Source organism: Homo sapiens, chromosome 20 (assembly GCF_000001405.40).
Source record: "Homo sapiens chromosome 20, GRCh38.p14 Primary Assembly".
In the NCBI taxonomy this organism is placed as follows: domain Eukaryota; kingdom Metazoa; phylum Chordata; class Mammalia; order Primates; family Hominidae; genus Homo; species Homo sapiens.
In genome coordinates, this window is record NC_000020.11 from 25,295,056 (window position 1) to 25,308,231 (window position 13,176).

The 13,176-nt window shown below is 53.1% G+C and overlaps 2 protein-coding genes across 12 annotated transcripts in view, besides 3 other annotated features; one reads left to right on the forward strand and one right to left on the reverse strand.

The window, feature by feature from the left end:
- PYGB (glycogen phosphorylase B) overlaps nucleotides 1-2,957 on the forward strand; it is a 49,928-nt gene extending 46,971 nt beyond the window's left edge. The window contains exons 19-20 of the mRNA NM_002862.4: nucleotides 549-615; nucleotides 1,315-2,957. Coding sequence (NP_002853.2) covers nucleotides 549-615; nucleotides 1,315-1,467 — 220 coding nt within the window. The 3' untranslated portion in view covers nucleotides 1,468-2,957. The remainder of the gene's footprint in view (nucleotides 1-548; nucleotides 616-1,314) is intronic.
- ABHD12 (abhydrolase domain containing 12, lysophospholipase) overlaps nucleotides 1-13,176 on the reverse strand; it is a 96,093-nt gene that overhangs the window by 313 nt on the left and 82,604 nt on the right. For 5 of the 11 annotated variants that reach the window (XM_047440087.1, XM_047440092.1, XM_047440094.1 and 2 more), the window contains 3 exons: nucleotides 12,911-12,990; nucleotides 11,778-11,860; nucleotides 7,202-8,573 (listed from right to left, as the gene is read on the reverse strand). In XM_047440087.1, coding sequence (XP_047296043.1) covers nucleotides 8,243-8,573; nucleotides 11,778-11,860; nucleotides 12,911-12,990 — 494 coding nt within the window. In that variant the 3' untranslated portion in view covers nucleotides 7,202-8,242. Of the gene's footprint in view, nucleotides 1-5,158; nucleotides 5,830-6,276; nucleotides 6,324-7,163; nucleotides 8,574-11,777; nucleotides 11,861-12,910; nucleotides 12,991-13,176 lie in introns of those variants that run through there. The other 6 variants (NM_001042472.3, XM_047440093.1, XM_047440089.1 and 3 more) reach the window with 4 other exon arrangements.
- Nucleotides 593-1,114: an enhancer, noted in NCBI's record as "H3K4me1 hESC enhancer chr20:25276284-25276805 (GRCh37/hg19 assembly coordinates)". NCBI's record gives its function as "activates a minimal SCP1, AML or CMV promoter by ChIP-STARR-seq in primed H9 embryonic stem cells {active_cell/tissue: H9 hESC(primed)}" and the evidence as "EXISTENCE:reporter gene assay evidence [ECO:0000049][PMID:30033119]".
- Nucleotides 5,012-5,563: an enhancer, noted in NCBI's record as "H3K4me1 hESC enhancer chr20:25280703-25281254 (GRCh37/hg19 assembly coordinates)". NCBI's record gives its function as "activates a minimal SCP1, AML or CMV promoter by ChIP-STARR-seq in naive H9 embryonic stem cells {active_cell/tissue: H9 hESC(naive)}" and the evidence as "EXISTENCE:reporter gene assay evidence [ECO:0000049][PMID:30033119]".
- Nucleotides 5,564-6,114: an enhancer, noted in NCBI's record as "H3K4me1 hESC enhancer chr20:25281255-25281805 (GRCh37/hg19 assembly coordinates)". NCBI's record gives its function as "activates a minimal SCP1, AML or CMV promoter by ChIP-STARR-seq in naive H9 embryonic stem cells {active_cell/tissue: H9 hESC(naive)}" and the evidence as "EXISTENCE:reporter gene assay evidence [ECO:0000049][PMID:30033119]".

Below are 13,176 nucleotides of genomic sequence, written 5' to 3' on the forward strand. Positions count from 1 at the left end.
ATTGTGAACTCTGCATTTCGTGAAGTGTGCTTCTGACTCGATAGTGAACAGAAATGCATTTGTAGATTCATAAATCTGGCATTTTTGTTCAGCACATCAGGAACTGCAAGTCAGTATTTCCTGTGTAGGCAAATCCCAGTTAGACTTAAGACGGCAAATGGAGATGCCGTTCCCCAGCAAGTGCCCCCTGCCCTGAGGCGGCGCCATGGGCTCTCCACTGTCTGCCCAGGAGGCCTCTCCCATGTGCAGCTCTAACTGCCCTGCGTGTGGAAGACACGTTTTAAATGCCAGTTTATTTAAAGGAGTGTTGGGTTGAAATAAGGTTTTTCTAAAATATTGTCCCAGGACATAAGTGTTGCTCACAGAGAAGCCCTGTGGCCAAATGGGCCTGGTGCAGCCTGGCTCTGACCAGCTGCGTGGGTGGGCCCCTTCGCTCCAGACAGGACCAGGTGGATGGTGCCTGGCCTCCTGCCCTGGGACTCTCCCCTCGGGACAGTGTGGGCAGGGCTCCCTGCTGCCCTGGCCCAGCCTCCTTTCTCCCATTCCAGGTTCAAGGTGTTTGCAGACTATGAAGCCTACATGCAGTGCCAGGCACAGGTGGACCAGCTGTACCGGGTGAGGCTCCTGGGTCCAGAGGCTAGGGGAGCAGCTGGGTGGGTCCATGTAGACGTGTTGGGTCAGATTGTTTATTTCCCAAGCTGAGTAGATTCTTGGCCTGGGCCAGAGGGGTTTGTGATTCTGATCTGTCATCAGTCGGCTGTGCCTGCCTTTAGGGAAGCTGTCACTGTCAATGTCACTCCCTCCGTTGAAAAAAACAGCTCCTAATGGCCAAGAAAGGAATGTGCGGCCTGGAAACTGAGTGACGGGCAGGGCCCTGGGAGGGACCTTCTCTTCCCTCAGTCAGGGCTGGCCTCGAGGAAAGGCTGGCCTGGTGTGACCTGCAGCTTGTGGCAGCTGTGAGGCTCCCTGGTGGAAGGAGACTGCCTGGGCATGTCCCCTGGCACTGGATCTGCCTGGGCAGTTCTTACCTGGTGCTATCCCTATCGTCGTCCTGGGGGCCATGCCCTAGCAGGAATTTTCGAGGCTGGGACCTTCTCTCCAGCTCCTTGCTCCCTAGATCTAGAATGCGGTAGCTTTCCTGGTCCGTGGGGTCCCCTTTTCAACGAACAAGTGATTGTAATGTCCTCCTCTTCCAGCGGATGGCCCCAAGGCTCGGAGCTCATTTGGAAACAGTCCTAAAGTTCTGGAATCCCATGTTTTTAGCAGCCCCAAGCCCTGTGACGCCAGAGACTAATTTCATCTCCTTCCCTGCAGAACCCCAAGGAGTGGACCAAGAAGGTCATCAGGAACATCGCCTGCTCGGGCAAGTTCTCCAGTGACCGGACCATCACGGAGTATGCACGGGAGATCTGGGGTGTGGAGCCCTCCGACCTGCAGATCCCGCCCCCCAACATCCCCCGGGACTAGGCACACCCTGCCTTGGCGGGACCAGCGGGCATTTGTTTTCTTGCTGACTTTGCACCTCCTTTTTTCCCCAAACACTTTGCCAGCCACTGGTGGTCCCTGCTTTTCTGAGTACCATGTTTCCAGGAGGGGCCATGGGGGTCAGGGTGGTTTTGAGAGAGCAGGGTAAGGAAGGAATGTGCTAGAAGTGCTCCTAGTTTCTTGTAAAGGAAGCCAGAGTTGACAGTACAAAGGGTCGTGGCCAGCCCTGCAGCTTCAGCACCTGCCCCACCCAGAGTGGGAGTCAGGTGGAGCCACCTGCTGGGCTCCCCCAGAACTTTGCACACATCTTGCTATGTATTAGCCGATGTCTTTAGTGTTGAGCCTCTGGATTCTGGGGTCTGGGCCAGTGGCCATAGTGAAGCCTGGGAATGAGTGTTACTGCAGCATCTGGGCTGCCAGCCACAGGGAAGGGCCAAGCCCCATGTAGCCCCAGTCATCCTGCCCAGCCCTGCCTCCTGGCCATGCCGGGAGGGGTCGGATCCTCTAGGCATCGCCTTCACAGCCCCCTGCCCCCTGCCCTCTGTCCTGGCTCTGCACCTGGTATATGGGTCATGGACCCAGATGGGGCTTTCCCTTTGTAGCCATCCAATGGGCATTGTGTGGGTGCTTGGAACCCGGGATGACTGAGGGGGACACTGGAGTGGGTGCTTGTGTCTGCTGTCTCAGAGGCCTTGGTCAGGATGAAGTTGGCTGACACAGCTTAGCTTGGTTTTGCTTATTCAAAAGAGAAAATAACTACACATGGAAATGAAACTAGCTGAAGCCTTTTCTTGTTTTAGCAACTGAAAATTGTACTTGGTCACTTTTGTGCTTGAGGAGGCCCATTTTCTGCCTGGCAGGGGGCAGGTCTGTGCCCTCCCGCTGACTCCTGCTGTGTCCTGAGGTGCATTTCCTGTTGTACACACAAGGGCCAGGCTCCATTCTCCCTCCCTTTCCACCAGTGCCACAGCCTCGTCTGGAAAAAGGACCAGGGGTCCCGGAGGAACCCATTTGTGCTCTGCTTGGACAGCAGGCCTGGCACTGGGAGGTGGGGGTGAGCCCCTCACAGCCTTGCCCCTCCCCAAGGCTGGCAACCTGCCTCCCATTGCCCAAGAGAGAGGGCAGGGAACAGGCTACTGTCCTTCCCTGTGGAATTGCCGAGAAATCTAGCACCTTGCATGCTGGATCTGGGCTGCGGGGAGGCTCTTTTTCTCCCTGGCCTCCAGTGCCCACCAGGAGGATCTGCGCACGGTGCACAGCCCACCAGAGCACTACAGCCTTTTATTGAGTGGGGCAAGTGCTGGGCTGTGGTCGTGCCCTGACAGCATCTTCCCCAGGCAGCGGCTCTGTGGAGGAGGCCATACTCCCCTAGTTGGCCACTGGGGCCACCACCCTGACCACCACTGTGCCCCTCATTGTTACTGCCTTGTGAGATAAAAACTGATTAAACCTTTGTGGCTGTGGTTGGCTGACATGGGGTCTGTGTTTCACTAACTAACTAACTAACTGCAGGTGGTGGTATGAGACTGTGGGAAGCAGAGAACACAGGCCTGAGGCCCAGGGTGGTGCCAGTGCAGGGATGAGACCTGCAAGTGGGCCACAGGTCCCCCGTCTGAAACTAGAGCCGGGGCTGAATTACACCCCATCATTCTGGGATTGAGGGCAGAAAAGTTTGCATCTCCACTAGGTGTGGAACCCGGGGTCATGTGTGCCTGAACGGCTAGTTTTGTTTTTTTGTTTTTGAGATGGAGTTTTGCTTTTGTTGCCCAGGCTGGAGTGCAGTGGCACGGTCTTGGCTCGCTGCAACCTCCGCCTCCTGGGTTCAAGCAATTCTCCTGCCTCAGCCTCCCGAGTAGCTGGCATTACAGGCGCCCACCACCACACCCGGCTAATTTGTGTATTTTTAGTTTTGCCATGTTGGCCAGGCTGGTCTCAAACTCCTGACCTCAGGTGATCCGCCCGCCTCAGCCTCCGAAAGTGCTGAGATTACAGTTGTGAACCACTGTTCCTGGCCAAGCTAGCTATTTTCTAAAAATTCTATCAATCAATCAAATCCAGCCATTACTAAACATGCTATCTGGGGATAAGAAACACACACACCTTTCTGGTGTGACTTGTGCTGGTCCCTTTGCACCTGCAACTTTTGTCTCCCACTCCTGGCCCTGGGGACCAAAGCATCGCCCATCAATTGTACAGTTGCAGATTAAGAAATCAGGAGAAATGAGCCTAGGGCTCTGTGCTACCCTGAAGACCCAAGAACTGGGATGCTGGAGTGCCATGGGCCTCCTTGGCCTCAGACCTGGTCGTGCAGGGGTTGGTGCTGCCAGGTTGTCCTCATCCCCACACCCACCATGCATCTGGGCGGGCGGCACCAAGGTGGTGCCCTGGGAGTCTCTGCCTCCCCAGGTCTGTGGGGTGCCCTCCCAGGGATTAGTTGCTTGGACAACTGAGCTCAGCACCCTGGGTAGGGCACTTGGATGTAATGAGCTGACAGGTGATGGTGGAGCAGCTGCCACACAGTGCACCCTTCTCGCTCTTATCTGCATCATCTCAGTTTTGTAAAAAAGACACTAGTAGCTTGGCTGAGTGCAATGGCTCATGCCTATAATCCCAGCACTTTGAGAGGCCAAGGCAGGAGGATTGCTCAGGAGTTCGAGACCAGCCTGGGCAACATGGCAAAACCCCATCTTTACAAAACATACAAGAATTAGCTGGGCGTGGTGGCACGTGCCTGTAGTCCCACCTACTTGGGAGGCAGGCTGAGGTGGGAGAACTGCTTGAGCCCAGGAGGTGAAGTTGCTGTGAGCTATGATTGTGCCACTGCACTCCAGCCTGGGCAACAGAGTGAGACTGTCTCAAAAAAACAAAAAACCCACCAGGAGCTTGTATTTTTAGTTTGTATCTATCTTGCCTCAGTCCCCCAGCCAAGTATCCCAAGTAGCTTACATAGACCAAAAAAAAAAAAAATGAGGAAAAGATGAAGGCCAGCCCAGGTAGAGTGGGTCACCTCTGCTTCGTGGTCAGGAGCTGAAGTGTGCGACGAGGCCAGGAGACCAGCCTTGGGCTCTGTGCTGGAGTAAACCTATGTCCTAAAGAAGGGGCTGCCTGGCTCCCCTAGGGGTTCCTATAGCCTCACAAAGACATTCTAGGATGCCACGTGGGTCCCCGGCTCAGATGGCCATGCAAGGAGATCCCAACCCTGGGGCAGGTGGTGTCTCTGGGGCCGTGGGTGGGTGGAACAGAAATGACACCCTAATTAGGGACCAGGAGCTGGGGCACACCCTGGCCAGGAGGGGGACCAGTGTTCTCATGAACTGACCTCAGAAGTAATGTCTACTCAGCTGCTCCCCTGCGTAGGAAAAGTGTTTTGTAGATCTGAGAACCGCTATAGGTAGCTCAGGGTACCCCAGTGAAGGAGTGTAACCGCGAGGACCTCTGGGCTCCCTGCCAGCCCACAGCTGCTGATGCTGGGACTGCAACTTGGAGAAAGGGGCGAGCAGGTGAACAAAACTTCCTACTCCTGGCAAATTTCTGAGCTGCTGGGACTAGAAAATTTCATAGTCTGAGGCTGAGTCATGGAGTGGCTCCAAAGCGGCTAGAGGCTAGGCTGTGGGCGGCTCTGGGGCATGGAGGAGGCAACATTGACCCTTCTCGCGCTGCAGAGAGACAAAAGGACCACCACCACGATTTTATTCTTAAATAAAGCTCAGTCTAAGGCCAGGTTAGGTGTACAGGTAGGTGAAAGGGGAGGAAGTGCAGATCCCGGGCACTTCCACTGTGGGTGAGTGGGCCAGCCCAGGGGAGGTGGGGCAGCTGAGAAAGGCAAGCAGGTACACAGGGCAGGAGGGGACGATGGAACCACTGGAGTCATTCTGCATGTGCTGGGAAGGTGCAGAAAGAACCTGGACCCCACGTTCTCTGTGGGTGGTGCCAAAAAGCTCAGCATGGTCCCGAGCCCCAAGAGTCCCCTGCCCGGACTCCCCCTGTCCAGCTCAGTGCAGCATCAAGCAGGCAGTGATGGCTGCCTGCTGCCATTAAGTCTCCCAACAAGATCTCAGGTTGAGGGGCGGCAAGGAGAGCCACATGCCTGCCACCCACGCTTTCCACACAGCCATGCTCAGGCCTCCGGGCACTGCAGGCCTGCAGGGGCCTCCCCGCCTGGGATCTGAGGTGCTCTCCAGGTGCGAGCTGGGCTCCTGAGCATTGCAGGTGCCGGCCCCCCGGGGCTTCAGGATACCGGGCTGCTGACTGGAGGAAAACGGGAGGAGGGCAGAGGTCTTCATGCTTCCTTCCCACGGCCAGGCTCAGTGCTGGTGCTCAGGCTCCGACTTCCCCAGGAATTCCCTAGACCACAGGACAATCAGGAGCCAATCATTTGAGCTCAGACCAAAGATCCTTCTCCACAGTCCTCACACTGCTATCTAAGGAAGCAGAGGCTGTGCAGAGAGGAGGCAGCCAAGAGCCCCATGAGGATGCGCTGTAGCCCAGAGCAGCACTCAGTGAGTTAGGCAGGGAACAAGCAGTGTGGTGCCAAGTCAAAGCCCAACACACAGGCATGGAGACAAGGTCTCTGATTCTTGACCCTCAACTTCAGAGCTATTCTCTGGTCTAAATTTTCTACACATATCTTCCTTTTATAATGGGGAAAATTATAACCGCAAAGCAAACCCATACTCTGAGCCCACTGCCCCCTTAGCAACCCAGGTACCTGTGCTAAAGGGACACAGTTTTGCCTCTGGAACTTCCAAAGGCAACTGGAGAAAAGCAGAAGTTTGCAGTAGAATTACTCACGGGATATACAGCACTGGGAGGCAATTCAGGCCACCAATTTCAGTCCCCTGCAGGGAGAAACTGGCACCTTGACCTACTTTTTGGAGCTGACTGGCACAACACAACAAAAAACTCTATCACCATTAGCAGCAGCCCCTCCGTGGGTCCAGTGCTTAGGGTCGAAGTACCACATGCCCTCCTCGGCTCAGAAGCCTTGTCCCATGCACAGGGAGGGTTAGCATCTTGCCCAAGGCCACACAGCCAGGCAGTGGGGTGGGGGCCTGTGTCCTCTGACAGGCAGGTAGGCGAGTCTGGGCAGCAACCTGCATAGGGCCCAGGGCAGTACAGAGGAGGCCGGGGGTTGGTCCATTCCACACACTGCCCTTGTCACTACTGCCAAGGCCTCACCCTCAGGCTTGGGCTCTGCACTCAGGCCCAGGTGGGTACTCATGGCTCTCTGGGCTGGCGCCCATGTCCTGCCAGTGCAGGGCAGTCAGGAGCACCACGTCCCTTCAAGAAGCAGCTGGGGACAAAGAGGCTTTTGAGGAGCTGTGTACGTCTTGAGAGGTGTGTGGAAGAGATCCGAGGCCTGCAAGTGGCTGGGGTGTCTGTGTCTGAGTGTTCCCAAACATGGCCACCTGTGAGCGTGTGTGCCCCCCCGTGTGGGTCTGTACATCCTTTACAACATGGAGGCGGCTCACCCTGCATGATCATGTGAACAGTCCTGGAGCAGGAGAGAGGCACTCCCTCAAACCCCTCTGCCAAGGAAATGGAAGGCTCCCAAATCACTGTGACTCTTGGCCCCACTGAGGCCCCCTGAGCAGCTTCAGCAGCTGCCACCTGCTGCACGTTAGGTGTGAGCCAGTGCTGCCCAGACGAAGCCCCTGGGTGGGAAGAGAATGTCTCACCTCAGTATCCGTGGCAGCTCAGGGCTCTTGTAAATGTATTTGTGCCTGTAGCCAAGGTCTGAATGAAAGGGCACAAACTGAACTTTGAAATCTCGGAAGCTTCGAGCTGGTGCGGCGATGCTATAGAGCTGGGGAGAGAGGGGTCAGAGCCTGAGGCAGTGGCCTGGCATGGGGGTCCCAGCCTGAGGAACACCAGCTTGGCAGCCTCCCCTTCAATAGAAACCAGTCCAGAGTCCCACATACACTGCTTGTTGCCACAGCCGGTCACGACCAGGAGGCCCGGGGGTGGGCTGGGAGGAGCCAGGCCCCAGGCTTGGCTCCTGGGCACACACCACTCAAGATACTGTCCTCACACCTTATAGACTACCCTTCCTCTGGGGAGTGGCTAGGTGGATGAGCCAGACCAGGTGCCTGGGAGGCTCTGATGGCAGGGATGGCACAGTCTTGGGGAGCTGGGACAAAAGGTATGTGCCTCAGGCTTAGCTAAGATGGGCTTGATGTACCCATCTCAGCCCCCTCCCCCTCTCATTTCGGCAAGGGTAGGTGGGCCTGAGCTGTGCGCTGCTGGGCGGCTCTGCATTCTGCCCCTGCCCTGTGTGGCTCCGTCATCTGTGTGCCTTATGGAGCCTGACTGCATGGGGGCTGTCAGAGCAGGAAGTGCTCCCAGCCCTGGGCTGAATCCGTGGACGAGGCCTGCACACACCCAACTAGTTTGCCCTGCCATTACCAAGACCCAGGCTGCCTTCTCTTACCCTACTCTGAGCCACAAATCCAATCCAACTTGCTGACAGTCAAAGCAAATTCAGCAAAAGCAAACACTGAGGCCCCACAGACAGCATGGTCTGGTTCTGGTATCAGCGCAATTCCAAAGGCAAGGAAACAGGCTAGAAGTTTCTCTATCAATTTTGACTGTGACCCCTGCAATGGGCTTGGGAGATCCTCATCAAGGGGTTCTTTGCCTTCAGCCCATAACTGATGAGCCCTTCCAGCTGAGTTCCCAGGTTGGCCTGGGCTCTGATAACATAGGCAGCCCACTCTGATAACCCCTGTGTGAGGACTGGGAACTATCTGCTTATTTTTCATATTCTTGGAGACAGCATCAGTGGGCCCCTGCCCCAACCTTTACACCAGACCTCCCATGTCCTTCCGAAGCAGCCTGGAGGTGACGCAGGGAGGATGAGGTGGCCTCCTGAGCCTGACGTGGCTGGTGCGCAGCCCGTGATGCAGCATGCAGGGGCTGCCTTCCCGCCTGCCCACTCCCAGCCTGGTCCACCCACACTGGCTGAGTGTGCAAGATGCCAGCTACACCAGAGGCAGAGGCCAGGACCCACCTTTCTGCCAAGCTGGAAGGGCACCACCGGGTCGTCCTCAGCGTGCAGGATGAGCAGGGGACAGGAGATGTGCTTCACGCTGTAGGAGGGAGAAGGGGCTAGACCAAGACCAGGGAAAGGGCAGAGTTGCCCAGACCCTCTGTCCATGGCAGGGATCTGGGTTCAGGGTGTGTTTTGGGAAACAGCCTGATTTCTGCTGGATTTCTTTTTACTAGACAACTGAAAGTTAACTCTTCATTATCTCTATGAACATCTATTACAGCTAGATGACAGGTGTCAATCACAGCTATATAACTGGCCCTCGGAATGTCTTCTGAAAATTGAAAATGATTATTTTTCCACCAGATATATATATTTTTAAGCGGAATAATTCAGGTGGGCCAAGAAACTTAGTGTAAATGAATGTTACTAGGAATCTGTTGGTAAAAAAAGTCAATGTTCTCTAATTTATCTGTGTAAGTGACATTTATGGTCACTCCAACTCTAAACACTTAGAAGTGATTTAGGATTTTCAGTAGGTTTGATAGATCCAAATCCTTCAGCAAACCACATAACAGAAGCATGGGCTGCCAGGACCGGCGGAGCCTGGGCTCTCCTGTGCGGCCCTCACTGAGGTGGTGCCTGACCCAAGTCTCCTTTATCCCCAACAGGGCTGTGTGCTCCGTGAGGGCAGCGCTGGTGCACTCCTGGCACCTGGAGCAGGACCCGGTGGGGAGCCCCCGCCCTGTCTGTGCTGCTGGCAGGAGGCACACACTCTTGCTTCCCAGTAAGGCTTGTCTGATGTGCGAGTCCCTCTCACCAGAGGCTCTGGAGGAAGCGGCAGTACTTGGGATTTCCCAGACCACGGCCCACCTGAGCTCAGGAAAGCCCCTCCTGCCCTCAGAGCTGTGCCCCTGACTTCCAATGAGCTGAGGGTGGGGGTCTCACCCAGGGTCACCTGTACTCCATCTGGCTCAGCTGGGAGGGTCAAGGCCAAAGGCAGCTTCAGGGGCACGGTACTCAAACTTGCTTTTTTTGTTTGTTTTTATTTTTTATTTTGAGATGAGTCTTGCTCTTTCACCAGGCTGGAGTGCAGTGGTGCGATCTCAGCTCACTGCAACCTCTGCCTCCTGGGTTCAAGTGATTCTCCTGCTTCAGCCTCCCGAGTAGCTGGGACTACAGGCGTGCACCACCACGCCTGGCTAATTGTTTTGTATTTTAGTAGAGACAGGGTTTCACCATATTGGCCAGGATGGTCTCAAACTCCTGACCTCGTGATCTGCCTGCCTCAGCCTCCCAAAATGTTGGGATTACAGTGGTGAGCCACCACACCCAGTCACAACCTTGCTTTTTAAGAAGGAATCCAGTTCATTCAGATAATTCTTTTTTTCTTTTCTTTGTTGCCCAGGCTGGAGTGCAATGGCATGATCTTGGCTCACTGCAACCTCCGCCTCCTGCCTCAGCCTCCCGAGTAGCTGGGATTACAGGCATGTGCCACCACACCTGGCTAATTTTGCATTTTCAGTTGAGACGGGGTTCACCATGTTAGGGTGATCTTGAACTCCTGACCTCAGGTAATCCACCTGCCTCAGCCTCTCAAAGTGCTGGGATTACAGGCGTGAGCCACTGCACCCAGCCCAGATAATTCTTTTTCAAGTTCCAAAACAGTAGTATTTACAAACAAGCAGGGTTTGTTGCTTAAAATATTTGTTCAACTTTTAATTTGTTCTATTTTTATTTTTAGAACCAAAACATACTTGATGGGAAAAAATACTCCATTTTTTTTCATATTCTGTTTCAAATTAAATTAAATATTTATAGGGTGTTTTACTTTCCCTCTTTTTTTTTTTTTGAGACGGAGTCTCGCTCTGTCGCCCAGGCTGGAGTGCAGTGGCGCGATCTCGGCCCACTACAACCTCTGCCTCCCGGGTTCAAGCGATTCTCCTGCCTCAGCCTCCTGATTAGCTGGGACTACAGGCACGAGCCACCACACCCGGCTAATTTTTGTATTTTTAGTAGAGACAGGGTTTCACTGTGTTAGCCAGGATGGTCTCGATCTCCTGACCATGTGATCTGCCCACCTCAACTTCCCAAAGTGCTGGGATTACAGGCATGAGCCACCACGCCCAGCCTACTTCCCTCTTTTTTTAAAGAAATCAAAATTCATGATATAAAAATGTCACAAAGACAATATCAATACAATCTGAAAAAGGTTTAAAAAAAGAACCCTTAACTAGAATACTTAACTTTTGGTTTACCTAATAGATTTTTAACAATAAACTTTGTAATATATTTCTATAACCAAACACAAATCAAATGGCTGAGGCAAAGTCATTTTCTGATTAAGTCAGTATCAGCAGGGCTCAGTGGCTCACGCCTGTAATCCCAGCACTTTGGGAGGCCAAGGCGAGCAGATCACCCGAGATCAGGAGTTCGAGACCAGCCCGGCCAACATGGTGAAACCCCGTCTCTACAAAAATACAAAAAAATTAGTGGGGCATGATGGCGGGTACCTGTAATCCCAGGTACTCGGGAGGCTGAGGTGGGATAATCACTTGAATCCAGGAGGCAGAGGTTGCAGTGAGCTGAGATCACGCCACTGCACTACAACCTGGGTGACAGAGCAAGACTCCGTCTCAAAAAAACAAAAACAAAAAAAAAAAAAAGAAGAAAAATCAACCAGTTAATATCACTGTTTTAATATGTGTTTTGGTTTTCACAAACCATTTTGAAATAAAACAACTCTATGGACAAAAACTATGTTATTTTAATATTGCTTTACTTCTATAATCTTTTCAGATTTCTTATTTCTTTCTGTTACAGTTCTTTACTTGCCCCCTGGCCCACAATTTTTTTTGTTTTGTTTTGAGACAAGGTCTCACTCTGTCACCCAGGCTGGAGTGCAGTGGTGCAATCACGGTTCACTGCAGTCTTGACCTCCCCAGGCTCAGGTGATCCTCCTAACTCAGCCTCCCATGTAGCTGGGACCACAGGTACACGATGCCACCATACCTGGTCAATTTTTGGATTTTTTGTAGAGACAGGGCCCTGCTATGTTGCCCAGGCTGGTCTCAAACTCCTAGGATCAAGCGATCTGCCTTCCTCAGCTTCCCAAAGTGCTGGGATTACAGGTGTGAACCACGGTCCCTAGCAGGCTTTCCCTTTTTAAAGACCTGTTTGCTAGAGAATGACCCTAAATACACTGAATTCCATCCTATTTGATTACTGTGACTAAAGAGGCTCATCCAGAGGTTCTCAGAGTTTTTCTAAATAGGAAAATTAGTTCCTGTCCCATAATACTCACTTTTCATCATTTGCAAATTTAATTCCACTACTTGTAATAGGATCAAGGAAGAACCAGTCAAACCCAGGGAAGTATCGATATATCTGGAGACAAGATGGAAACCATTTTCAGAAGCGTTGGTTAAGATATCCAGGCACAGGTCAAGGGTGCAGACAGTTTAAGTTCAGAAATCTATAAGGCGTTGCCCATAACTACCCTACCTAAGGGAGCAGGGGTGACATTGCCAAGGGGCCACCAGAGCTGTGCCCTGGCACCTTCTGCCCTGGCCGTGTCCTGGCTTTGCTGCTAGGAACAGAAGAATCACCCGCCAGGCCCCACAGACTGGCATGGCAGGGGCTGCCCTGCAAATGGGGCTCCCGCACCTCCCAGCCAGGCCAGAATCCACCCCAGAAACCAGTCTTCCCGCAGACACCAGGGCCGCCACCCCTGAGAAAGTGGGGTCTATGGACAGTTTCCTCACACAATTTAAGAAAAGCAGCACCAAAAAGTAAGATAAGATAAAAGGCTCTTCTGGTTGGTAACAGAACAGCATGAGGCCAGCATGGGCTGACACAGGCCCGAGAATCCATGGCCAGTGGGGAGCACAGGGATCACAAACCAGAGTGAGAAGGAGGGGAAAATAACTGGCTAGGTTTTAAGGGAAGGTCCAAGGTTCCATTCCCAGCTGGGGAGGGCACAGGTTGGGTGGGGCCTGGCTTACCCAGAATTCCCACTGGGGTTCACCTGGGCCTTTCCCCAAGATAAAACTGGAAGGCCAGACTCCCTGGTCCACACAGTCCAGCCCCCCAAGCACTGTCTCATACACAGAGAGGGGGGCACCCCCAGCTCCACTCCTGAACAGGAAGGCAGGGCTGTCAATACAATGCAGTCGATGACACCACGTGAGCCCGGCCTCCACTGTGTCCAGCTGCCCTCAAATGACCCAATTATGACCTGTCATTTCACCTGGCTGCAGGTTATACTTCTTGGGCAGCTCTGTGGCCAAAACTAGTATTAATTTTTAATGAAATCTGTATTCATTAGAATATTTAAATAACAATTTTTAATAATTATTATAATGTATCCTGTAATTAGTTATTTCTATAATTTATCTTAATAATGAAAAGTTAATTTTTAATAAAATCTGTACTTGCCACTGAAAATGGATGGCTCTTAGCTTCTTCGCGGATATTAGTGAATGGAGATTCCAATATAAGGGCATCTGGAGGCGTCTCTAGATAAACAAACAGGGAACTGAGAGGTAGGCAGGAAGCCAGCGACATACATGTGGCCTGTGGGGCTCTGAGGGGCCCCCAGAAAGCACAAGGAGACCACAGCGCCTCCCACCAGGCAACCACCTCGGCAGGCCTCAGATAGCACCAGGGGTGCCCGCCAGGGGAACAGAGATGGCTCTGGTCAC